We start from the raw sequence: 25250 nt of genomic DNA on the forward strand, positions 1-25250 counted from the left end.
GTGTTCCTACAACTTTATAGAACATAATTGCTATAAATAACAAGGACCAGCTAAACGTAAAACGACCCAGCTGTGCAGGCTACTGAGTGTGTGTCCTGGGGTCTGCCTGCCTTTCCAGAAGTGCTGGGGATCCACTGGGATGGACACTGGGGTTTCTGGGGGGCTATTGATGAGGAGGTGAGGGGTTCCCTCTTAGAACATGTTTCCTCACACCTGTAATCCCAGCACTTTGGAAGGCTGAGGTGGGCGGATCACAAGGTCAGGAGTTCGAGACTAGCCTGGCCAATGTGGTGAAACACCGTCTGTACTAAAAATACAAAAATTAGCCGGGTGTGATGGCACGCACCTGTAGTCCCAGCTACTTGGAAGGCTGAGACAGGAGAATCGCTTGAACCTGGGAGGCGGAGGTTGCAGTGAGCCGAGATCATGCCATTGCACTCCAGCTTGGGTGACAGAGGTGAGACTCTGTCTCAAAAAAAAAAAAAAAAAAAAAAAAAAAACCATGTTTCCTTGGGAGTCAAAAGTCAGACATGGGCCTCTGTGCTATGGCCACTGCTTCTTTGAAAACAACATATAACCGTTTACATTTCTTCTTGTCCTAAGTTTTCAGAAAGGCACTTTGCGGATGAACTGTCTTGACTGCCTGGACCGAACCAACACTGTGCAGAGCTTCATCGCGCTCGAGGTGCGTCCCTGCCACAGCCTTTTCGGCCATCTGTGCCAGGTCCTGTGACTTCAGCTGGACAGGCTGGGCTGAGCACCTTTAGCGGCAAGATGAGGGTGGCATCACCAAGACAACCTTCTGACTATGGGGAAGGTGGACAGGGAGACACTGGGACATCCAGAGAGGGGTTCCCCAGGAGGCTGCTTTCTCTGTCGTAGGCACACTTTCTCACACCCTCTTGTGAAATGCATCCCAGACATGGTGGCCCAAAGGCTCCTCGGGAACAGCGGTTGTGTGTAATGATTATCGTGGATGCACCATTGGCCAAAGGCAGTGTGAGGCTGGCCGGATGAGGCTGGATTTGAAGCTGGGGAGGGAGACCTCTGTCTGCATGGCCCCAGCTGCCTGGTTGACCTCTCCTGGCTGGGGGGTCGGGGGTAGGGTCAGCACCCCCTGCTGTCCACCACTGTTTGCTCTTCAGCCTCTGGCATTGGGTGGGGCGGGGCGGGGTGCAGGGGCGTTCAAGTGTCAGGGGGTGAGAGGAGGGCTTGGGTGGACCCTATAGATAAAGTTGGGGTGAGATGTGGGAAGTCACTCTCTGCTGTGGGAACTCCTCATCCTCTGGAGGGGCACAGAGTCTTCCAGGCACAGCGTAATCCACAGGCTGCCGAATAAGGAACCTCCTGGGACAGTGGCTGCAGGGCCTCTGTGGGAGAAGCCAGTGACAGCCATCCCTTATTCCTCCCCAGGTCCTGCATCTGCAGCTCAAGACCCTGGGGCTGAGTTCAAAACCCATCGTTGACCGCTTTGTGGAGTCCTTCAAAGCCATGTGGTCTCTGAATGGCCACAGCCTGAGCAAGGTGTTCACAGGCAGCAGAGCCCTGGAAGGGAAGGCCAAGGTAGGGCCCCGCCGAGGGGGCAGGGTGGGGGCCCCAGGGACCCCCCTCACGGCCTGCGGTCTGGGCTCTCGGCAGGTGGGGAAGCTGAAGGATGGAGCCCGGTCCATGTCTCGAACCATCCAGTCCAACTTCTTCGACGGGGTGAAGCAGGAGGCCATCAAGCTGCTGCTGGTTGGGGACGTCTACGGCGAGGAGGTGGCAGACAAAGGGGGCATGCTGCTGGACAGCACGGCGCTCCTGGGTAGGGCCTGCCGCAGACAGGGCGAGGCAGGGAGGTAGGGTGCTCCCCAGCCCCACTTTCCCACCGCCTCTGTGCTATCCAGAGAGCGGGTGGCAGAGGTGCCTGGGATCTGAGCAGTGGACCATGCACCTTGCAGCTGTCACTGCCTCTCCCGGGAGCCTGCGCTTTCCTGCTGGGCCTGGGAGCTCACGCTTCCTCTGTCTCGGCTTGGACTGTGTTTCCATCCTGAGAAGCGAGAGACACCAGGCGGGCTCAGGGAGAGGCCGTGCACTCTCCTAAACGCATCGGTGCCTTTGAATGCTAACCTACTCCAGAAACTTCCTCAGCTGCCTGGGCTCTTGGGCCCTTAGCAGGTGATGTTGGCTTTGGGAGCTTCCCATGAAGTTGGCCTCCAGTTTCTCTCTTGGCCCCTGAGGACCCTGTGGAAACAGAGAAGGAGGATGCTGTCATCCCCTGGGGATGAGGGCACCTTCTGGTCTCAGCGGCAAGACATCGTGATTCCATCAATATAGGAGGTTCCTTTGGGAGCATTTTAATGGCATCTTCTTACCTGAGCCTGTAAACATATTAGGTCTCATGGAAAAGTAGGGGAAACCCAGCATTTTTCCTTATAAGAATGTACAAGTGTCGCTTTAGAAATGTCAGGTGTTTTTGAAAAATGAACTAGCCCATGCTTAAAATGGGTTCACGGCCCTTTCCACTGTCACCGTCACTGGGGGAGCTCTAATTTGGCTTCCGATAGGCACGGTGATATTTAGTTTCTACTCTGGAAACAGTGCCAGCTCTGTAAAAGGTGAACAAAGCTCCATGTTGTACAGTGAGTCTTATTTAATAGCAAGGCAGACATGAGTTAGATTTGGTTTACATCACAAGTTTAAAAGGTGGAATATATTTTGGCTATCTAGAGGATGGAGATGGTTCTGTGTAGTGACTTTTTAAAGCCTTAAGTCTGGGGCAAAACAAAACATATCAGACATGCAGGCTGGAAGGCAGAGGATGCAAAGGTGGCTGTCTGGGTTGGTAAGACACTTAAAGTTATAGTGTATATGGATGCATACACAATGAAATATGGTCAGTTACAGCATGCCCTTGCTTAAATTCCTATGCCTTGTTCTTCTACGGAGTGGACAGTGAGGACACGGCTTTTCCCTGTCGTGTCTGAGATCCCTATGGTCTGATGTCCCATGGCTTCTGGCTTCAGTTGGGGGTAGGGGTATAGACGGTGAGTTTCCAGTCTTATGTTTTCACGCCTTTATTGTAGAAATGCCATAAGGGAAGCCCCGTGGTGACCGTGGTTTTAAGCCTTTTGTCGTCTTCGTAAGGAGCATACCCTGGTTTATCTCTAGAGGCTCATGAACCATCTGTCTCTGCCAGGCAGCCTCATCTGTCTTTTTGGAGGATGCCTGAGCTTTGGAACTGCAAAGAAATGTGCCTTTTTATGCCTCCTGACAGTGACTCCCAGGATCCTGAAAGCTATGACTGAGCGTCAGTCCGAATTCACAAATTTCAAGCGGATCCGGATTGCTATGGGGACCTGGAACGTGAACGGAGGAAAGCAGTTCCGGAGCAACGTGCTCAGGACGGCGGAGCTGACAGACTGGCTGCTCGACTCGCCCCAGCTCTCGGGAGCTACCGACTCCCAGGGTGAGGGCAGTGACTTTGGGGGAGACAAAATCCAATTGCACCTAACCTGACATGTCACGCTTGACCCTTTAGTGGCCATCGTCTTGTGGAATTTCATCTTTGGTGTCTTCCCTCCTCACAATGTCTAAATAGCACCATGGCCTGACTCTCAAGAATGCTGCCTCGCAAGTAACTGACCTTTTTCCTTTCCCAGATGTTTAGAAGAGTTAGCAGATGGTGAATCTCTCTTTTCTCTTTGCATACAGTGATGGTGAAGTCTTAGGCTTTCATCAGTAGAATCTTTTCGTCACCAGTCGGAAGGTGTGGCTTCTAGGGCCATGTAACTGTGAGGTTGGGAGCCAAGCCTGTCTTCGGTGTTTTGTTTTTGTTTTTTGTTTTGTTTTGTTGTTGTTTGTTTTTTTGAGACAAGTTTCACTCTTGTCACCCAGGCTAGAGTGTAGTGACGCAATCTCGGCTCACTGCAACCTCCATCTCCAAGGTTCAAGCAGTTATCCTGCCTCAGCCTCTCGAGTAGCTGGGATTACAGGCGCCCACCACCACGCCCAGCTAATTTTTGTATTTTTAGTAGAGATGGGGTTTTGCCATGTTGGCCAGGCTGGTCTCGAACTCCTGACCTCAGGGGATCCCTCTGCCACAGCCTCCCAAAGTGCTGGGATTACAGGCATGCGCCACCGCGCCTGGCCCTGCCTTCAGTGTTGATATTGACCAAGAACAGCTCATCCCTGCCTCTCCCCAAACCAACTCTATTAATCTGCTTTAAGTAGTCACAAAATAATTCATGTGCTATTTAGGAATAAAATAATTCCAAATGTTGACACCTCACCTTTTATCTTGTAAGATACACTATTGAATGGCCCCAGAACTTAGGATCTGAAGAATAAATGATTCTTGTCCAGTCATCGTTGACTCGGGCCTTGGTTTTTTTGTTTGTTTGTTTTTTGTTTTGCTTCCTTGGACTCAGGAACTTGTGGTTCAGGTTTTTGCCTGTTGGTGAGTGACCTGTGGTCTAGCTGACATGCAGTGGCCCATGTGTACATTCATGCCCCACAGCTGCCTGGGTAGTACCCAGAGCCCCATCCCTTCCTGTGCACACGCCATCTGTGCCCTCCTTTCTGCCTCCAAGGGCAGGTGGCAGAGTCCACCATTCAGAGCCACTGGGGCTCTCTGTGTCGGTGGTAGCCTGGGTTGCTGCTTGTGGTGCCTCCAGAAGCCATTCAGGATGCCCTCCGGAGCAGGCCCATCAACGCGGAGAGTGCTTAGCACAGCCGTGGCTCAAGAGCCGTCCCTCCAGTCCCCACGAAAGTGACTCCTCTTCTTTTCCCTGCAGGAAGGTGTGCATGTTTTTAGCAAGCTGGCTGGTATTTTGCAGGGGATTTTTTTGGGGTAGACACTAGCAGGCTCCCCAGCAGTCCCACTAGAGATACACCAGGTTCCAGAGAAGGAAAGGAGTGCTGTGGTTACTATTGCCAAGCAGATCAGACAGAGGGACGGGGATTGTTTTATTTAAAAAAAAAAAAAAAAAAAGCTTTAAGTCAGGGAAACTAGAGGTTCCAGGTTGCCCATTGTGGTCAACAGAGAAGGAAGTGGACAGCCTGCCTGGCCTCTCGCTGACAGAGGCCATGTCCTCCTAGCTGGACCCTGGGGAGGTGGGCCTCTCACTTTCTGCAGCAGCTGGAGCCATGACTGGGCTTGGTGGCTCAGGAGCCTGGGTGTCAGAGGTCGTGACTGGACAGATTCAGTCAATGGCTACAAGGTTATATTAAATTCTGACCTCCCCTGTTCAAAGGGAACAGAATGGACGGAGGGCCCCTCTGGGCTCACTGCTGCATTTAAGCCAGGCATTTCTGAAGCAGATTCCACTGGGGCAGTTCCCAGCAGCAATGGTAGCCACCTGGAGTTGGACTCAGGCAGTGGACAGCATGACTCGGGAGAGGGCACTGGGGAGCCCCATGAACTCGTAATGCGGGACTTGGCGGTTCTGACTTCTGTCATCTCTTGCCTTGCTCCCCAGATGACAGCAGCCCAGCTGACATATTTGCTGTGGGGTTTGAAGAGATGGTGGAATTGAGCGCAGGGAATATTGTCAATGCCAGGTAAGGGGCCAGGTGTGCGGGGCCAGGCAGGGACTTCCTGAGTCAGGTGCCTGGCTGGGAGCAGAGCCTCTGAGGCTCTCCGGGAGCCAGCCTGCTTCTGAGCCAGCTAAGCTGTGGCCCTGGCTGTGTGGGGATCTCTCACCTGGCTCCTTCTCTATGCTCACACATGCACCACCCCGTTCTTTCCCTGCCACTTAGGAAGTAAAAGGAAGGGCTGATGATTGCTGTGTTTTCTTTGCAGTGCTCTGGCCTCGGCCACTTGTTGAGGCTAATTTATGCTGCCAGAGGGAGCTGGCATGTGTGGACCTGGGGTGCAGGGGAAGGGCGGGGCTGGGACTGGGAGAGTAGTTGACTCATGTTTCCTGGGGAGAGGTGAGAAAGTGTGAGTGCCGGGAAGAGGTACTTTCTTCCTGCACACCAGGGCAAAGGAAAAAATCAAAACCACTGGATTTTTATTTGATATGAAGTCAACTGGGCGCTCCCCCCACCCCCTGCTGAACTGGCCTGGCTTTATTTTAAGGAACTTTCTGAACAAATAAATAAGACTGACTCTGTGGGGCTGCTATGAGAAGGTCCTGGGTTGGGTTTCAGGGGTCAAGGGAGGGCTGCTGTGATGTGTGAGGCATAGCCAAAAACACGCAGATCCTCCAGTAGAAGAAGGAAAGCATGACACTAATATTGGGGTGCGGGCAGCGTGAAATCAGTTCTGCAAACAGAATAGGCTTGGGCTGGAGCATTTGGTAGGTGGGAGATAGATGTACTTCCAGCTACCTGTAAACAGCATCCTTTCCTTTTCTCTTCCAGTACTACCAACAAGAAGATGTGGGGTGAACAGCTTCAGAAAGCCATCTCACGCTCTCATAGATACATTCTGTTGACTTCGGCACAGCTGGTGGGCGTCTGTCTTTATATCTTTGTACGTCCATACCATGTCCCGTTCATCAGGTAAGAACATTCTGTTTACACACATCTGGGGAACAAGGGGTTGTTAGTCTTTGTGTTTTGTTCTTTGACTTCCCCCTCCTCCCCCATCCCCTTCTGTAACAGGAATCGGGACTTACCATTATTTTAGATAAATGTAGCAAAACCCCCTAGGAAAAACTGGGCTGAATAGAATATTGTCTAGCGATTAAAAAGCCACCATGGGAAATGTCTAACTCAGGAAGCTGAACTCTTAGAAAGGGTGTTACATGATTGTCATCGCCCAAGCTCAATTCCGTGCAAGGAAAAGGGTTCCTTGTTGGAATCTTATAGACAGGAAACCTCTGACCAAGAGCTGAGTAACTCACTGGGAAATGCCAACTCTTTTGTCCCTTTTTAAAAGAATTCTAAGTAGAACGTGTGGGCCTCTACAACTGTGACCTCATTGTCATTTCTCCAAGGTGCATGCTTTGTGAGCATCAGAAAGGGGGCGAGCTTAGGGGCGGCATTCCTCTTGGGGTGTGGGTGTGGGTGTTTGGATGCTGGAGGAACTCATCTTTTCCCCAGCTTGTGGTTGGCCTCATCTTACCACCTGGGCCTACCCATGGCTTTTGAATTTCCACCAGCCTTTCGGCGAGCTGGCAGCAGGCGTTGAACTGACCTCCCCACTGAGCCCCTGGGTCCCGGGAAGGGCCTGTGCCTGCCAAGAGCACCACGGGTACACCCCTGCAGCACCTGGAGACTAAGACTATGCTGCCCATAATCCTCTTCTCTGACTTTCAGAAGATGTTTAGGTCCCTGTCCCTCTGCTTGTGTTATTTGGGCAGCTTGGCAGTGTCCTAGGTTAGCAGGTGAAGGTTAGTAAAGGTTAAAGGCAAGGGCGGGGTGAGGGTGAGAGGTAAAGCATTTGAGAAAGGGCTCAGAGCTGAGGAGAGCCAGGTTTCCCAGGCTCGGTGTCCTCGGCTTCACGTGCCTTTAGCCCTGAGCTGCTTCCGCCTACACCCCTTCCATCAGTCATCCCCCCAACCTTGTCTGCCAGCGAGCAGATGCACCAGCAGGCCTCAGTCTGTGGCATGGCTGTGGAAATGTTAACAAATGTGCTTGCAGCCCATGTTTCTATGGACTCGTATGCGTCATAAGTGGGCATTTGAATGCAAGCAGGCTCTGGCATTGCATAAAAGTCCTTTTGAGACCATCTACCCAGCCCAGCATAAACAGCTGCCCGTTTCCTAGCTCTTAAAGTGCATTGATTGCTGGGCACGGTGTCTCACGCCTGTAATCCCAGCACTTTGGGAGGCCAAGGCAGGCAGATCACTTGAGGTGAGGAGTTTGAGACCAGCCTGGCCAACATGGTGAAACCCTGCCTCTACTAAAAATACAAAAATTAGCCGGGCGTGATGGTGGGTACCTGTAATCCCAGCTACTCAGGAGGCTGAGGCAGGAGAATTGCTTGAACCTGGGAGGCCACAGTTGCAGTGAGCTGAGATCACGCTGCTGCACTCCAGCCAGGGTGACAGAGCGAGACTCTGTCTCAAAATAACAATAATAATTTAAAAATGTGTTGATTGCCCAGATGACACCTCCCATGCATGGCGTGATGGCTGCACAGGAGTGGGGTGGGCTGGTGGGTGGTGATGTTTGCGCCGCTCCTGGTGGCAGTGAGAACCTGGGCGGATGCAGGCATTGCCCTGTCTTCGGCTTCATGGGGTGCTCAAGTGAGCACTTCCCAGTTGGGGTGTGGGGGAGATGTCCAGGCAGCGGTGGGCAGCAGGAGGGAGGCGGCCTCCTGACCAGGAGTCGATGACGGCCACGGTGGCCACTGTGTTGAGCTGATGATTTTGGAGCACTCAGAGCAGCAGGTCCCGAGCTGCTGCTGGGCCCTTCTCTGTGGCAAAGCAGGGTCACACTTCTCCTTCAGGAGCCGACGGCATGCGCGTATCCTTCTGTTCCAGGGACGTAGCCATCGACACAGTGAAGACGGGCATGGGGGGCAAGGCGGGGAACAAGGGCGCCGTCGGCATCCGCTTCCAGTTCCACAGCACCAGCTTCTGCTTCATATGTAGTCACCTGACGGCCGGGCAGTCCCAGGTGAAGGAGCGGAATGAAGACTACAAGGAGATCACCCAGAAACTCTGCTTCCCAATGGTGAGCGGCGCCGTGGGGACAGCCAGCACCTCCCTGCTCAGCTCAGTCCCAAATGTGACTGTTGATAGGAGCCAGGCACTGGGGACACAACCACAGGGAGGGCCCCTTCCTGGAGGGCTCAGCGCTGGGGGAGGGGGAGAGGGCTATGTCCCTCCATGGAATTGACCTGGGGCAGGGTTAGCCACGTGCCTGGAGGGGGCCAGCTTTGCAGCATTTCCCGTTGCTGTACAATTCCTGAGTGTCTGCATGGCCACTGGATTTGTATGTGTGCATTTTCTGATTTTCTAATTCAAGTGATGGTTTAGGGAAGAAAACCATGTCCGTGGTCTGTCCTGTCCAAGTGGTGAAGAGCATTTGAATCCACACAGCCTAAGACTCCACCTTCCTGAGATTCACAGTCTTCACATGTACTTTCTGTGGTGGCTCAGATAAGCACACCCTTTTGACCAATGGACCCTTTTTGACTGGGAACACGGTTCTTGACCAAGGAGCCCAGATCCTGCCTGTCCTCGAAGCTGCAATAGCGAACCGCACACTGCCCTCTCGTGGCGGTCCGGAGGGTTTCATTCTGAAACTGGAGGATTTTCTTTTCAAATCTAGACGTTAATGTTCTCCTTCCTGTGCAAAGATGCTACCCGGGCACAGCTTCAGCGTGTGGTGCACACGAGGCCACCTCTTTCCCGAAGTGAGGATAGACTTCAGCTGTTCTTGCTGCAAAATCTTCCACTGTCTGAGAGGTGGTGGGTTGGGTCACAGAGCTCTTCCCTGTGAGAACAGATCCTTAAAACTGACGTCCCATTTTACTGGGCTGCACGAGCACTCAAGGCAAAATTTCCTTAGTTTTCATTAAGAAGTGCCATAATTCCTGTTGGTGTTGTTTATTTCTTATGTTAAAAAAGAAACAAACGAGTTGGGAAATTTTCAATTGTGTGTAATGCAGTTTAAAAAAAAAAAAAAAGTCTAACCCTTCTCACTTAAAAATAGCTACTTTGGGGCCAGGCACAGTGGCTCACACCTGTAATCCCAGCACTTTGGGAGGCCGAGGCGGGCAGATCACCTGAGGTCAGGAGTTCGAGACCAGCCTGGCCAACGTGGTGAAACCCCACCTCTACTGAAAATACAAAAAAAATTAGCCAGGCGTGGTGGCGTGCACCTGTAATCCCAGCTACTCAGGAGGCTGAGACAGGAGAATCGCAACCCAGGAGGCAGAGGTTGCAGTGAGCTGAGATCGCACCACTACACTCCAGCCTCGGCAACAGAGCGAGACTCTGTCTAAAAAAAAAAAAAAAAAAGTGCTACTTTGACATAGTAAACTTGGGATACATAATAAGTAATTAAAGGATTTATAATGTAGTTCTTTTCTACCATAAAAATATTGAGGGACCTATTAACATTCTACACTTCTTTTTTGTTTTTGTTTTTTGAGACAGTCTCACTCTGCCACCCAGGCTGGAGTGCAGTGACATGATCTTGGCTCACTGCAAACTCCACCTCCCAGGTTCAAGCAATTCTCCTGGCTCAGCCTCCTGAGTAATTGGGATTACAGGCGTGCACCACCAGGCCCAACTAGTTTTTGTATTTTTAGTAGAGATGGGGTTTCGCCATGTTGGCCCAGCTGGTCTCGAACTCCTGACATCAAGTGATCCGCCTGCCTCAGCCTCCCAAAGTGCTGGGATTACAGGTGTGAGCCATGGTGCCTGGCCAACATTCTACACTGGTATTGTCTGATACCGTAGTCACTGGCCATAAGTAGCTATTTAAATTCAAATTAATTAAAATTAAATAACATTTAAAATTCCTTGCTTTCCCTGGCCACAGTGAGAATGATCAGTATCCATGTGGCCAGTGGCTCCTGCATCAGATGGCACAGAGAACATTTCGGTGCTGCAGAAAGTTCTGTCTGACAGTGTTATCTAGACGCTCATTTTATTTGGTTGGGACCTGTTTAATCTTCTGTCCAGATTATTGTCATGGGGGGAGTGGAAATGCCTCATATTATAGGAGAAGAGAAGCTGATTTTGGAGCTAGGCAGATGGGAGCTGAAATCCCATCTGTATCATGCACTAGCTGTGTAACCTTCAGCAAGTGCCTTTGTTTCTGAACTTTGTTTTTTTTTTTTTAATCTAAGAGAGAGCTGGTGGTATCTGCTTTGTGCACCTGGAACAGAGCCCAGCCCTTGCGGACAGTTGATCCACAGCAGCTGCTGTCATTGTCTTCCCCATTCCTGGGGAAGAGACAGGGAAGGCAAGGACCCCAGGAGCTCTCCGGGGCTGAGCTGGGGCCGTGGGCTCCTAGGACTGGGCAGGATGGGAAGGAGGAGCTAGAGAGAGATGGAGAAGGGTCACCTGAAAAAGCTCAGGAAGTTACATGAAGGTGCACATCCTGAGCATTTCTGCTGCTCTTTTGAAACCTCATTCTCCTAACGCTGAATGCTGGGTGCTGCTTCCTAGGAGTAGACACTCCAAAGTAAGGGTGCATCTGATCTTCAGGACGGGGATCCATGGAGGAAATGCTGGCCATGTTGCTCTCCTCCGTTTAGGGTAGGAGCTTTCTTCAAACCACTCAGAAACACTATTATTTAAAATTAAAAAGTAAGCCATGTAAAAATTCCTCCATAGTTTTATGGGATGAGTGAAAAACAAGATGCTCTAGTAGAAAACTTTCTTTTTTCTAAGTAGCATTTTGAGAAAAATACTCCTGCTTGCCCCAGTGAGCTTGTTTTTCTCCTCTCTCCCACCTTCCTTGCAAGATGGGCTGAATGATTATGATTTTCTTTTCAACTTAGGGGAGAAATGTTTTTTCTCATGATTATGTATTTTGGTGTGGCGATTTCAACTACCGCATTGATCTTACTTATGAAGAAGTCTTCTATTTTGTTAAACGCCAAGACTGGAAGAAACTTCTGGAATTTGATCAACTACAGCTACAGAAATCAAGTGGAAAAGTAAGTTGTGCTTTAAAAACATTTTTTAGCAGCTGCTCCAAGATGGAATGACATCTGTGAGATGTAGAGGCTGGTGCAGCAAATTCAGTTCCGTGAGTGGATTTCACTGTTTCCAACATTGTAGAAAATAGGTGGGCTTGTGAGGTTACAGTACAGGAGTGGCTGTTCATACACACTTCCTGTCCTTTTTTTTTTTTTTTTTTTTTTCCTGAGGCAGAGTCTTGTTCAGTCACCCAGGTTGGAGTGCAGTGGCACTATCTTGGCTCACTGCAACCTCCACCTTCCTGGGTTCAAGCAATTCTTGTGCCTCAGCCTCCCGAGTAGCTGCGATTACAGGCGTGTGCCGCCACACCTGGCTAATTTTTGTATTTTTAGTAGAGACGGGTTTTCACCATGTTGGCCAGGCTGGTCTCGAACTCCTGGCCTCAGGTGATCTGTGCGCCTCAGCCTCCCAAAGTGCTGGGATTACAGGCATGAGCCACCATGCCCGGTCAACCTTCTCCTCCTTCTAATACTGTTATTTTAGTGCCTGTTTGCTTCCTAGCAGGATGAGCTGAGATGAGGGGAGTACATTTAAATTCCATTTAGCTGTGGAGAAAGAAGCTGGTTAAATGTGTGAGGGCCAGGTGCGGTGGCTCTTGCCTGTAATCCCAACACTTTGGGAGGCCGAGGCGTGCGGATCACCTGAGGTCAGGAGTTCAAGACCAGCCTGGCCAACTTGGTGAAACCCCATCTCTACTAAAAATCCAAAAATTACCTGGGTATGGTGGCAGGCGCCTGTAATCCCAGCTACTCAGGAGACTGAGGCAGGAGAATCGCTTGAACCTGGGAGGCGGAAGTTGCAGTGAGCCGAGATCGCACCACTGCACTCCAGCTTGGGCAACGAGCAAAACTCCGTCTCAAAAAAAAAAAAAGTGTGAGGACAGGGCAGATAAGGTCTCTCCTGAAGCAAGATTTGGACGTTCTTCGAGGTTTACTGTGTCTTCCCACTTGAGCCCCTTCCAGTGTGTGGAGTGCTAAAGGGTTGCCACATGGACGAGTGACCATACCAACCTCCTAAAGCAGGTTTTCCTGTCTTCCTACTACCAACATTCTCACATCCTCTCAGTGATGCCCAAGAGAATGAGGGTGTGTTTGTCCCTTGGTCTTCCCATGGAAGCAAGGCCAATCCAAAGTTAAACAAAGAAAAGAAGGATGTGCATGGGGGCTCACGACTGTAAGGCGGGAGGATTGCCTAAGCCCAGGAGTTTGAGACCAGCCTGGGAAACATAGGGAGACTTTGTCTCTACAAAAACTAAAATTAGCCAGGCATGATGGTGCGTGCCTGTAGTCCCAGCTACTTGGGAGGCTGAGGCAGGAGGATCACATGAGCCCCAGAGGTTGAAGCTGTAGGGAGCCGTGATTGCACCACTGTATTCCAGCCTGAGCAAAAGAGCGAGACCCCAGGGGGAGAGAGAGAGGAGAGCTGACTTTCACTCTGCGCTTCTATGTACTTAGCTCATTTAGTCAACAAACATAGATGAAGGCCTCGGGGTTGTGGGCCAGACATGGCACCAGGCATGGGACTGTAAAGATGAGCACCCCTGACCCGTGCCTCGGACCCTGCACTGTCTCCTGGGGGGCAACAAGAAGACAGTGGATAGATCAGACACTGGAGTGGGTGGGGAGATAGATACGAGGGCGGTGTGTCCCTCAGTGGGATGAGCTGAGGATCACTTTTTTGCTAATTAAAAGACACATATGTCCAGTTTCAGATAGATTTTCAAATGTAATGGAGCTTCTGTTACTTTTTAAGAATAGGGACTTGCCTTTTCAGTTTTCGTTTTTGTATATAACATTCAGGATCGAAAACTACGGTGGCCTGATGACTTCTTTTTCTCCCAATAGATTTTTAAGGACTTTCACGAAGGAGCCATTAACTTTGGACCCACCTACAAGTATGACGTTGGCTCAGCCGCCTACGATACAAGCGACAAATGCCGCACCCCCGCCTGGACAGACAGGGTGCTGTGGTGGAGGAAGAAACATCCCTTTGATAAAACAGGTGAGGGGGCCGTGCCCGTTCGAGAGTCGGCAGAGGGTGAATAAGAAATGCGACGGAGGGAGAGTCACGTTTACCCAACCCCAGGCGCTGCTACATAAATCAGTTTCTTCATAACCCCAGATGACACAAAAGTCATCCCAGACCTTAACCCCTAAGCTTTGGAAGTTGTGCTTTCAGGGAGCCTCTGCTTCTGGCCTCTTTTTTTCCCTTTTCTTTTCTTTTTTTTTTTTGAGACAGAGTTTCACTCTTGTTGCCTAGGCTGGAGTGCAATGGCGTGATCTTGGCTCACCACAACCTCCACCTCCTGGGTTCAAGCCATTCTCCTGCCTCAGCCTCCTGAGTGCTGGGATTACAGGCATGCACCACCATGCCCAGCTAATTTTGTATTTTTAGTAGAGACGGGGTTTCTCCATGTTGGTCAGGCTGGTCTTGAACTCCCAACCTCAGGTGATCTGCCCACCTCGGCCTCCCAAAGTGCTGGGATTACAGGCATAAGCCACTGCGCCTGGCCTCCTCTGGTCTCTTTCTAGAGACAGTGACCTGCAAATAGGTCTGCTCCTGGCTGCCCCTGCATCACAGCTCCCCCCCACACCCCCACCTCTTTTTTCTGGGTGGGGAAAGCGGGGAGCATGAGGTTGCCTCCCTCCCTGCCCCCCATGCTCCCCCTCATGTTCTTTATCCAGCCTATTTTGTTCAGCTACACTTTTACCTGCTTAAAGCCCTAATTCCAAATTGGACACGAGCAAGACACAGTAAAAATAAGTTAGTTTTTAAAAATCATTAGTTGTCAAGTATGTTTTGAACAACTGTTGATGCCCAGCTAGGAAGTGAAGTTTATTTAAAGTTAGAATATCTGTAACTAGTACATAAAAAAAAAAAAAAAAAAAAAAAAAAAAACCTAATTACACATTTTGGGAGAGCATAGCCAGGAAATTGCATCTGTGAAAAGAAAATACAAATTTTCCTCTAGATGAGTTTGTGAACGCCTGTGTGGCCCCAGCGCTCTGAGAGGTGGGGCCTAGAATGAGTCCGAGTGTTCTCAGCTCCTGCAGCTCTTACCATACCAATTGCTGCCAACCTTCTGGGATTCCTGGGTCCTGGAAACCCGGCAGCAACACTGTGTCTCAAGCCTACAGTGGGCATGCTGGCGAGGACTGCAGGCATGGTCATGACTGTTTTGAATAATTATATGCGAGGAATGTTTTTAACCAAAGGCCCCAAAGCATCCGAAGCCTGGCTTCAAGGTGGAGGAGTAAGGAGGATGAGTCTGGGACGTGGGGTGGTTCGTGGCGCAGACCTCTATTGTGGAAGTGTCATGATCGCATTCTTGGATATTGACTCGATTCTATATGGGTCTCTCGAATGGAACCCCTGCGAGTAGCTGGAGAACTCAACCTTCTAGACAGTGATCTAGATGTTGACACCAAAGTCAGACACACCTGGTCTCCTGGTGCCCTGCAGTATTATGGTCGTGCGGAGCTACAAGCGTCTGATCACAGGTGAGGTCCTGACTTCCATGGCGTTTTCTCCTGTGCTGGGCAAGGCAGCGTCTCCCTCTCCGCAGGAAAATGCATGCTGTCCCCATAAGGATGTGTGTGCGCATGGGGGTGCATTTTGTGTGCATACAATACACCAAAGAACAAAGAATGATGGAACAAATATCTGTGGACCCACCACCAAGAACTAATTAATCTTAGCATTTTGTCATTGCTCCATATCATAAATGACATCATTGATGAAAATTTCAAAGATGCAACCTACGTATTTTGCGGCTTTTATATTTTCTTAAATGATGTCGTTGTGCAACTTGCTTTTTTGTTACTATTTTTGAGATACAGTCGTGTTGATGTTATAGCTCTGGTGCATTCATTTGTAACTGCTGTCTAGTATCCCACTAAATATATCCATGGAACTTACAACTTATCCATTCACCTCTTGATGAATATTTTCTCCAGGATTTTATGATTACAAACACCATAGGGTTTTTAAATCTGGGATGCACAACCTTTTTTTTTTTTTTTTTTTTGAGAGAGAGTCTTGCTCTATTGCCCAGGCTGGATGGAGTACAGTGGTGTGATCTCAGCTCACTGCAACCTCCGCTTCCCAGATTCAAGCAATTCTCCTGCCTCAGCCTCCCAAGTAGCTGGGATTACAGGTGCACACCACCATGCCTGGCTAATTTTTGTGTTTTTAGTAGAGACGGGGTTTCACCATGTTGGCCAGGCTGGTCCCAAACTCCTGACCTCAGGTGATCCACCCACCTTGGCCTCTCAAAGTGTTGGGATTACAGGCGTGAGCCACCGCACCTGGCCCTAGGATGCAGGGCTTTTTAAATGCTCTGTGCATCATGCATTGAGGATAGAGTGGAGGCAGCAGAGGGAGCACCGTGGGCACCAGCACCTGTGCCCTGGGATTGCTGCAGAGGAAGACTCACCCTGCAGAATGTCTTTAAAGACAGAGGAGAGGATGGCATTTGAGGGTGTGAAGAAGGAAGAGTTTGATCTTCCCAAGGCTGCTGCCTAAACTCTCATGTCAGTTTCAACTTTTACAAGGAAAGAAATTAAGAAAAAGAAGGTAAGAACAGTTGGTCAACGAAAAAACCTTTTTTTTTTTTTTTTGAGACAGAGTCCTCCAGGCTGGAGTGCAGTGGCACAATCTTGGCTCATTGCAACCTCCACCCCCAGGGTATAAGTGATTTTCATGTCTCAGCCTCCCAAGTAGCTGGGATTACAGGCGTGCATCACCATGCCCGGCTGATTTTTGTATTTTTAGTAGAAACGGTTTTGCCATGTTAGCCAGGCTGGTCTCCAACTCCTGGCCTCCAGTGATGTGCCCGCCTCAGCCTCCCAAAGTACTGGGATTACAGCCACCATGCCCAGACTCTTTAGATAATTCTAAATTCTTTAGATACCTGTTGTTGCAAATACATACCTAGAAGTGAATCTTGAGGAATCTTCAGATATGTGACATCAAGGTTTGCTAGCTCAATGTATTTTGAAACCTTAATTTAACCAATATTTCTTGAGGGGCCCTTACATGCCAGGCCCTGTTGCTGGCCTGGAGAAAAGCAGTGAACAAAACAGATGAGACCATGTTATCATGGAATTTTCTGGACAGGACAAACAGACAATAAACAAACATGTGTGCTATGAAAGAAAAAAAGTAGTGGCAGGAGTCAGGCCAGAGTCGAGCTATTTTCAATCAGGCTGTGTAATTTTCGTAATATAGGATTTTCTGGAAATTTATAGAGTAATAACCATCCCTGTGTCAGAATTACTATAAGGATTGCATTATTTCCTGCTGGACTGTTTTCCTGTTTACATCATTGATTTTTACATTATTCCTAATGATTGCGTAGGGTATTATATGAAGGTATCATAACTGTTTCCCCATTAAGAAACAGAGCATTTTGGCCTGGCGCAGTGGCTCACGCCTTTATCCCAGCACTTTGGGAGGCTGAGGCAGGCGGATCACCTAAAGTCAGGAGTTCAAGACCAGCCTAGCCAACACAGCAAAACCCCATCTCTACCAAAAATACAAAAATTAGCTGGTCATGGTGGCATGCGCCTGTAATCCCAGCTACTTGGGAAGCTGAGGCAGGAGAATCACTTGAGCCCGGGAGGCGGAGGTTGCAGTGGGCTGAGATCGCGCCACTGCACTCCAGCCTGGACAACAGAGGGAGACTCTGACTCAAAATAAAAAAAAAAAAAAAAACGAGCATTTCCCTTTTTTTTTTTCCCTCCCATCAACAATGCTGTAAATGATCAACCTCATGCATTAAATCTTTGTCTGAATCCCTGGTCATTTCCTTAGAATAAAGTCCGAGAAGTGAGATTACTAGGTGAAAAGAGATGAACAATTTTGGAACTCTATGTAAAGTGCCAAGTAACCCTCTGAAAAGCTTGCACCCCTGGCAGAGTGCAGATGTCTGCTTCCCCACCTCCTTGGTGGTACTGAGGATTACCATGTCAAAAATCTTTGCTGATGGCTGGTTATTTTCCAAGTACTGGGATACATCTTTAAGGTGCCACACTTTATTTTCCCCCTCAAATCATCTTTAGATAAAAATGCCAAGGTGATACTAAGGTTAAGGAAAGATGAAGACTAAAACGCCAGAGCAGGGCAGCTAGCCTGCAAATCCACCTGCTGGTGGCCACATTCGCAGGTTGTTGGTGTTGACTGTTTACAAAGAGCCCTGGGGGACAGCAGCTGGGGACTGGGGGCTGGAGATGTGGACATCTGTCCCAGGCTAACTGGGGACTGGAGGCCGGGGGTGTGGACATCTGTCCCAGGCTAACTGTCATCCCTCTTTTGTTCCTAACGCAGACCTGTGCTGGCGATCGTGGAGGTGGAAGTTCAGGAAGTCGATGTGGGTGCTCGGGAGAGGGTTTTCCAGGAAGTGTCCTCCTTCCAGGGCCCCCTGGATGCCACTGTTGTAGTAAACCTTCAATCACCGACCTTAGAAGAGAAAAACGAGTTTCCAGAGGACCTGCGTACTGAGCTCATGCAGACCTTGGGGAGTTATGGGACAATTGTTCTTGTCAGGTAACTGCTCCCCTGGCTGATGTGGGTTCCAGGGGATGTCGATGAGGATCCGTGAGAGCTGCCAGGTCGTTCTTGGCATTGACTTGGAGTATCATTTATTCCAGGATCAACCAAGGGCAGATGCTGGTAACTTTTGCAGACAGTCACTCGGCTCTCAGTGTCCTGGACGTGGACGGTATGAAGGTACGCTGTACTTGGCCACACTGTGGAGTGGGGTCTGATCAATCCCTCTTTTTATGTGGGCATGTCTTCTTCCTCCTCTTGCCCTGACCTGTGCCTTTTTTTTTTTTTTTTTTTTTTTTTTTTTTCTCTGAGACAAAGTCTTGCTCTGTCATTCAGGCTGGAGTACAGTGATGCAATCACAGCTCGCTGCAGCCTTGAACTGCCAGGCTTAAGCAATCCTCCCATCTCAGCCTCTCAAGTAGCTGGGACCGCAGGCACGTGCCACCACACCCAGCTAATTTTTTTTAAATTTTGTAGAGAGAGGATCTCACTCTGTAGCCCCGGCTGGAGTGCATTGGGACAGTTATGGCTCACTATAACCTCAGCCTCCTGGGCTCCAGTCATCCTCCCGCCTCGATCTCCCAATGTGTTGAGATTACAGGCATGAGCTTTCATGCCTGGCCACCAATCTGTCTTTATGTATAGACGCCATATGCGGGAGGGAGTTTGGATTCTTCACTCTGGTTCTAAGGTGTCTCATGTCCGGCTCTAGCTACTTGCAAAATAGGGCGGAAGGGTGGGCGCAGTGGCTTATGCTTGTAATCCCAGCACTTTGTCAGGCCAAGGTGGGTAGATCACCCAAGGTCAGGAGATCGAGACCAGCCTGGCCAACATGGCGAAATCCTGTCTCTAGTAAAAATACAAAAATTAGCCAGGCGCTGGGTGTGGTGGCTTACGCCTGTAATCTCAGCACTTTGGGAGGCTGAGGCGGGCAAATCATGAGGTCAGGATTTCGAGACCAGCCTGGCCAACATAGTGAAACCCCGTCTCCACTAAAAATACAAAAATTAGCCAGGCATAGTGGCAGGTGCCTGTAATCCCAGCTACTTGGGAGGCTGAGGCAGGAGAATCACTTGAACCCAGGAGGCAGAGGTTGCAGTGAGCCGAGATCGCACCATTGCACTCCAGCCCAGGCAACAGTGTGAGACTCTGTCTCCAAAAAAAAAAAAAAAAAAAAAAAAAGTAGCCAGACATGGTGGCGCGTGCCTCTAGTCCCAGCTACTCAGGAGGCTGAGGCAGGAGAATCGCTTGAACCTGGGAGGCAGAGGTTACAGTGAGCTGAGATCGTGCCACTGCACTCCAGCCTGGGTGACAGCGAGACCCTGTCTCAAAAAACCAAACAAACAGAATGGGGAAGAAGAATGTCAGTCACTGTGTCTCACGTTGGAAGGCAGCTCTACCAGCAGCTGCAGAAGCTTAGCCATTTTAGAGTGTAGTTCTCGCCGAGTTACTTGATCTGTCTATGCTCGCACTGCCATGTGGGAGACTATTCCAGTCTTTCTCTTTAGAGTATGTATTTTGGAATATGCAGCTCATAGATAGTTTCCGTTTTTATAGTATCTTGGCTTTAAATCTGTACCAAATGGGAAGCTGGAGATGAGAGTTCAACTTTTTTTTTTTGAGATGGAGTCTTGCTCTGTCACCCAGGCTAGAGTGCAGTGGTGCAATCTCGGCTCACCGCAGCTTCCGCCTCCCGGGTTCAAGCGATTCTCCTGCCTCAGCCTCCCGAGTAGCTGGGACTACAGGCACTCACCACCACGCCCAGCTAATTTTTGTATTTTTAGTACAGATCGGGTTTCACCGTGTTGGTCAGGCTGGTCTCAAACTCCTGACCTCAAGGGATCTACCTGCTTCGGCCTCTCAGAGTGCTGGGATTACAGGTGTGAGCCACCGCACCCAGCCCAGTTCAACTTTTTTTTCAACCAGATGTATGAGAGCTATGCTGAGCCTGCGTGAGGTCTGGACCCTTGGTTTTTCAGGGCCAAATGTGAAGATTGGCCTCGTTGAGGGTGTGTGGGTTTTGGTGAGAAGCATTGTGTGATCAACAGGAGGGGTCATGATTTTTATTTATTCCTGGGTGGCCGCTCTGCCCTCCCAGGTGAAAGGCAGAGCAGTGAAGATTAGACCGAAGACCAAGGACTGGCTGAAAGGTTTGCGAGAGGAGATCATTCGGAAACGAGACAGCATGGCCCCCGTGTCTCCCACTGCCAACTCCTGTTTGCTGGAGGAAAACTTTGACTTCACAAGTTTGGACTATGAGTCAGAAGGTTAGTGACCCTGCAGGGAGGGACAGGCAAGCCGTTCTTCTAGCAACAGGCCTGAGCTTTTAAGGACACCTTCTAAAGCCTCCCTTGCAGAAGTGACGGAGGACACCCGCAGGGCAAGCCCTCTGTCCCATGTGATGAGCATGTTTGTATGTGTGGACGATGCATGCCATGCTACCTGGGACCCGAGGCATCTAAACTTAGGCTACAAACAGTGGCTATGAGGATATCAGGGCTGTGGGTGTACCAATGGAACTGGGGTACCGTCCCTGCTGGCGCCTGGGCCCTGAGCTGCAGGGCAGGGTGCACGTGTCCTGACAGGAGCTGAACCAGTCCCACTGATGGAAGACTGAGCCTTTCCCCCTCATTGTTTTCACCCGAATTGTGATTCATTTCCTTCTCCCAGGGGATATTCTTGAAGACGATGAAGACTACTTGGTGGATGAATTCAATCAGCCTGGAGTCTCGGACAGTGAACTCGGGGGAGACGACCTCTCTGATGTCCCCGGCCCCACAGCACTGGCTCCTCCCAGCAAGTCACCTGCTCTCACCAAAAAGAAGCAGCATCCAACGTACAAAGGTAGCCTGACCCTTCTTTTCTCAGGAGCCTCAGCGATGGAGTCAGCTCAGGACAGACTTTCCTTTTTCTCTTGGCGATTGGGCACTGTGTGATATCAAGTATGCAGGTCCCAGGAGAGACCTCAACCAGGCAGGCCAAGCGAGGGGTAGGGACTGAGCCCTGTGGAGGTAGCCAGCTCCAACACCCTGATTTCCTCTAGTTAGTTTATTTTTTTACAATAACTTGTACCCCCATAACACACCAGATTCAAGATAATTCTTGTTTCCTCTGGATATTCAAATGGCCACGGTTCTGAACTGGTTTTATATTTGTGATTATTTCCCGCCCCCAACAAAACTCTTCTGATTCAGCCAGGCGCAGTGGCTCACACCTGTAATCCCAGCACTTTGGGAGGCCGAGACAGGTGGATCGCTTGAGGTCAGGAGTTCAAGACCAGCCTGGCCAACATGGTGAAACCCTGTCTCTACTAAAAATATTTTTTAAAAATTAGCAGGGCATGGTGGTGCACATGCCTGTAATCCCAGCTACTCAGGCAGCTGAAGCAGGAGAATCGCTTGAGCTGGGGAGGCAGAGGCTGCAATGAGCCGAGATCGCCCCACTGCACTCCAGCTTGGGTGACAAAGTGAGATTCCGTCTCAAAACAACAACAACAAAAAAACTTCTGATTCAATCCCAGTAGAGACATAATCCATATCTATGTCCTGAGTTGCTGGCGTATGGTCACACTCATATAATATCATATTATTATACAGTCATGTCATACGGTCACATCATTGTATCATTTTAGACTTCAGAGGGCCTGAAAGGTCACATTGATTGAACCACACACCCCTAGATTAAATAATACAACTTTTTTTTTTTTTTTGAGACAGGGTCTCACTGTCTCCCAGGCTGGAGTGCAGTGATACAATCTCAGCTCACTACAACCTCCACCTCCCAGGCTCAAGCGATCCTCCCACCTCAGCCTCCCAAGTAGCTGGGACTACAGGGTTGCACCAGCATGCCCAGATAATTTTTTGCATTTTTTGTAGAGACGGGGTCTCACTATGTTGTCCAAGCTGGTCTCAAACTCCTGGGCTCAAGTGACCCTCCTACCTGGGCCTTCCAAAGTGCTGGAATTACAGGTGTGAGCCACTGCACCTGGCCAGTAACTGTTCTGAGTAACTTTTAAAGCCCACTAATGTTACGTGGCTGGCAGGTCGGGTAGTTCATATTTCAGTGTCAGCTACATTGATGCTGTTCCATTCATAGCCAGGCATGCCTCTAGCTGTCAATCACTGAGCCCCGAGTTGGAGGACAGCTCTAACCAGCAGGTGCAGGAGCTTAGCCACGCATTGGGCCCATTGAGCTGGGGCTGAGAGCAGAGAACAGGGCTGAAAGTGGATTAAGGTACCTCTCAGGGAGGGTACTTTGCCAGGAGAGGTGCGAAGACCTCCAGCCCCTTTGACCGTACGCTGGTCCCCACACTGACCAATAACTTGCCTATACCGAACCATCAGGAGCTTTTAAACTTATGGATTTTTGAGCCCTACCAGAGAGATCTGGATTTGGTAGGAGTGGGGTGGGACCCTGGAAGCCTGGCGTTTCACCAAGCTTTCCAGGTGGTTTGGACGCACAGCTAGGTTTGGGGACTTCTGCCCAAGACTGAAGCAGCAGCCTTCGCCGGAGCATCGCGGTGGTTCTGCACGTTGCTCCTGCCAGGGGCTTCTGCCCGGGAGTTGAAGTGGCTGGAGGGATGTGCTCTTCCCATAAGAAGGACCTTTCTCTCGGGGGTGGCCGTCATGCAGGCAGCCTCTGGAGCCAGTGCAGGTGTGAGCACAGATAGTCCTTTGCATGAAGAAACTAATAGCGCAACACGGGACACGTGGGTGGCTTTGCTACCTGGTGGGCATTGAGAGGGTCTTCCCTTGATGCTGTGGGGTGTTCAGCCATTCCCATTTGTAGGAGAAATCCTGCCTTTCCCCAGTTCCAGTCTCCAGGACACATGGGGTGGAGCTGCTGGATACAGGGAGTGGGGTGTCCGAGTCAAAGTGAAATGGAGAGGCCCATGCTTTGGGGGAGCCCTAGGGCTGCTGATTTGATCTGTAAGGAAGCAGGAGCTGTGCCTCCTGAAAACCCCTCAGCCTCTTGGAAGGTGTGTGCAGGGCAGGTCAAGATGGCAGACCCTTGGGAGTGGCCAGCCATGGGCCCACAGGGTTTGGGATTTGATGAGTAAGCAGGACCCCTGGTCCTAGGCACTGGCCACTGCATGCCAGGCTGCTCTGCTGCCAGAGCAGGGAGAACACCCTCAGCTTCCTCAGCCGGTGTGTTCTAGAGTGAGGAATTGAAAACATCTGCCTGTGGTTGGTTGACTCTTCAGGGGTTGTGGTTTGCAACTGTCTCCTCCACTCTGCCCAAGTCTTGTTATTTCACAAGAAAACACACTTTGAAATAGCTCAGTGTCTCTCAAGTCTGAGAAATACCCATTATCCATGGTTCACTGAATGTTCCAAGCAGGCACTGGGTGCCCTCCCCGCCCCCGCCCCTCGCCGGCAGACAGAGGTGCCCGTTTCTGGACAGAGCCTTCAGCTGTCCTACAGCAGGTCCCCCTGCCACAGTCGGCCTCCTGTGCTCAGATCCGTGTCTGACACGCTCACGTGTGGAACAGACCATTGTACTCATGCCCCGCCATGTCCTCCAGATGACGCGGACCTGGTGGAGCTCAAGCGGGAGCTGGAAGCCGTCGGGGAGTTCCGCCACCGTTCTCCGAGCAGGTCTCTGTCGGTCCCCAACCGGCCTCGGCCACCTCAACCCCCGCAGAGACCCCCCCCTCCAAGTAAGACTCTGCTTGCTTTCAGCTCCCTGGATGCCTGCCAGGAATAACCGCGCGTTCCCTGCTACTGAAAACACGGCTCCGAATCCACTTCTCCCCGGCCTTCCGGTCCCCACAGGGCTTCCTCCTCCTTGGGCTCCGTTTTGTTGTAAATCCAGGACACGTTTGACGTCAGGGCTGGTTGTGTTTCTCATGGCAAATGAAACAGCTCCTTTCCAAAGCTGCTGTTCACCCTGGAGCTGTGCTATTGCTTCAAACTGCTCTCCCTTGGCAGCATTAGAGGATGCAGAATGGGGGCCGCAGCCATGGGAGGGACGTGAGCTTCGCAGTCAGAAGTCTCTCCTCAGCTGCTGCGCAGTCCTCCCTCTACTTATGAGGAATCTGGTAAACCCAGGTCCCCGCCTGGAGGTGACCTGGTCACCCCTCTGCGCTCCGAGGCCTCCTGTTCCCCGGGCTCAGAACAAGTTCCCCCTTATCCTGGGTCTAGGAGCATTTTCTTCTGGTTGTTCGAACAATGCTTTGCCCGTCCAGCCCTCCCTGATAACCTGAAAGCAAAGCTGTGATGTGCTTTTGATCCACTTGCATTTTCCCACCACTGTTTACTTCTCCCTCCCCAAAAATGTGATGATCAGACTTAGATCTTCCTAAGCCATTACTTCAGAATTGGGCTCATTGTGGCTGACGTCACGGTAGTAACCAATGGCAAGCCACAAGCCCAGATATAAAAATAACCCAAAAATAAAATGCATAAGTCATGTATTATTGTGGAAATTTTAGAGATAACTACAAAGAAGAACAAAATTTTAAAATTCACTTGATGACCTACGGGTCGTAGTTGTTGAAAAAAGTCTTCTTTTTCCAGTTTCATGTATCTGCAGCAACATACTTCTTTTTTTTTTTTTTTTTTTTTAACAAAATTAATACCCATTTTCTCTGGTCGGTTGTCTTTTATTTAATGGGTTATATTTTCTGTGTCATTGAATGTTCTAAAACATGATTTGTTAATGGCTGCAAGTATATTTTAACAGTTTATTCCCCTGCTTTGGAATTTTTTTTTTTTTTTTTTTTTTTTTTTTTTTTTTTTTTTTTTTTGAGATGGGCTCATTCTGTCCCCCGGGCTGGAGTGCAGTGGTGCGATCTCACAGCTCACTGAAGCCTTGACCTCCCCGGCTCAAGCAATCCTCCTACCTCAGCCTGCCAAGTAGCTAGGACTGCAGGCGCATACCATCAGGCTTGGCTATTTTTATTCATTTATTTATTTATTTTGTAGAGACAGTTTCACCATGTTGCCCAGGCTGGGGTTTTTGAAATATTTTTTCCCCACAAAATATTTTAAAAATCTGGTCCTAGCAATAGTATTTGGAACCATTTCAAAATCAATTGGTTTTTATATCAGATCTGAATCCCCCAAGATGTTAAAGTTTGCATTCTAGTAATGCTTCTCCAGATCA

General features: G+C 49.9%; 1 protein-coding gene across 14 annotated transcripts in view, besides 4 other annotated features; it reads left to right on the top strand.

Annotated features, from left to right (window-relative positions):
* SYNJ2 (synaptojanin 2) overlaps positions 1 to 25250 on the top strand; it is a 117881-nt gene that overhangs the window by 81892 nt on the left and 10739 nt on the right. For 10 of the 14 annotated variants that reach the window (XM_047419472.1, NM_001410947.1, NM_003898.4 and 7 more), the window contains 15 exons: positions 604 to 685; positions 1414 to 1563; positions 1639 to 1804; positions 3257 to 3448; positions 5460 to 5541; positions 6346 to 6486; positions 8415 to 8607; positions 11393 to 11551; positions 13439 to 13595; positions 14977 to 15094; positions 17922 to 18140; positions 18245 to 18323; positions 20242 to 20410; positions 20814 to 20987; positions 23668 to 23802. In XM_047419472.1, coding sequence (XP_047275428.1) covers positions 604 to 685; positions 1414 to 1563; positions 1639 to 1804; positions 3257 to 3448; positions 5460 to 5541; positions 6346 to 6486; positions 8415 to 8607; positions 11393 to 11551; positions 13439 to 13595; positions 14977 to 15094; positions 17922 to 18140; positions 18245 to 18323; positions 20242 to 20410; positions 20814 to 20987; positions 23668 to 23802 — 2216 coding nt within the window. Of the gene's footprint in view, positions 1 to 603; positions 686 to 1413; positions 1564 to 1638; positions 1805 to 3256; positions 3449 to 3527; positions 4780 to 5459; positions 5542 to 6345; positions 6487 to 8414; positions 8608 to 11392; positions 11552 to 13438; positions 13596 to 14976; positions 15095 to 17921; positions 18141 to 18244; positions 18324 to 20241; positions 20411 to 20813; positions 20988 to 23667; positions 23803 to 25250 lie in introns of those variants that run through there. The other 4 variants (XM_011536224.2, XM_047419475.1, XM_005267200.2 and 1 more) reach the window with 3 other exon arrangements.
* Positions 5795 to 6994: an enhancer, noted in NCBI's record as "BRD4-independent group 4 enhancer chr6:158490014-158491213 (GRCh37/hg19 assembly coordinates)". NCBI's record gives its function as "activates an origin of replication core promoter dependent on BRD2, P300/CBP, MED14 and CDK7 cofactors, and independent of BRD4, by STARR-seq in HCT116 cells {active_cell/tissue: HCT116}" and the evidence as "EXISTENCE:reporter gene assay evidence [ECO:0000049][PMID:35650434]".
* Positions 7978 to 8541: an enhancer, noted in NCBI's record as "H3K4me1 hESC enhancer chr6:158492197-158492760 (GRCh37/hg19 assembly coordinates)". NCBI's record gives its function as "activates a minimal SCP1, AML or CMV promoter by ChIP-STARR-seq in primed H9 embryonic stem cells {active_cell/tissue: H9 hESC(primed)}" and the evidence as "EXISTENCE:reporter gene assay evidence [ECO:0000049][PMID:30033119]".
* Positions 8542 to 9103: an enhancer, noted in NCBI's record as "H3K4me1 hESC enhancer chr6:158492761-158493322 (GRCh37/hg19 assembly coordinates)". NCBI's record gives its function as "activates a minimal SCP1, AML or CMV promoter by ChIP-STARR-seq in primed H9 embryonic stem cells {active_cell/tissue: H9 hESC(primed)}" and the evidence as "EXISTENCE:reporter gene assay evidence [ECO:0000049][PMID:30033119]".
* Positions 23276 to 23425: a silencer, noted in NCBI's record as "silent region_17732". NCBI's record gives its function as "represses an Ori minimal core promoter by ATAC-STARR-seq in GM12878 lymphoblastoid cells {active_cell/tissue: GM12878}" and the evidence as "EXISTENCE:reporter gene assay evidence [ECO:0000049][PMID:35858748]".

This window comes from Homo sapiens, chromosome 6 (genome assembly GCF_000001405.40).
Source record: "Homo sapiens chromosome 6, GRCh38.p14 Primary Assembly".
Taxonomy (NCBI): Eukaryota; Metazoa; Chordata; class Mammalia; order Primates; family Hominidae; genus Homo; species Homo sapiens.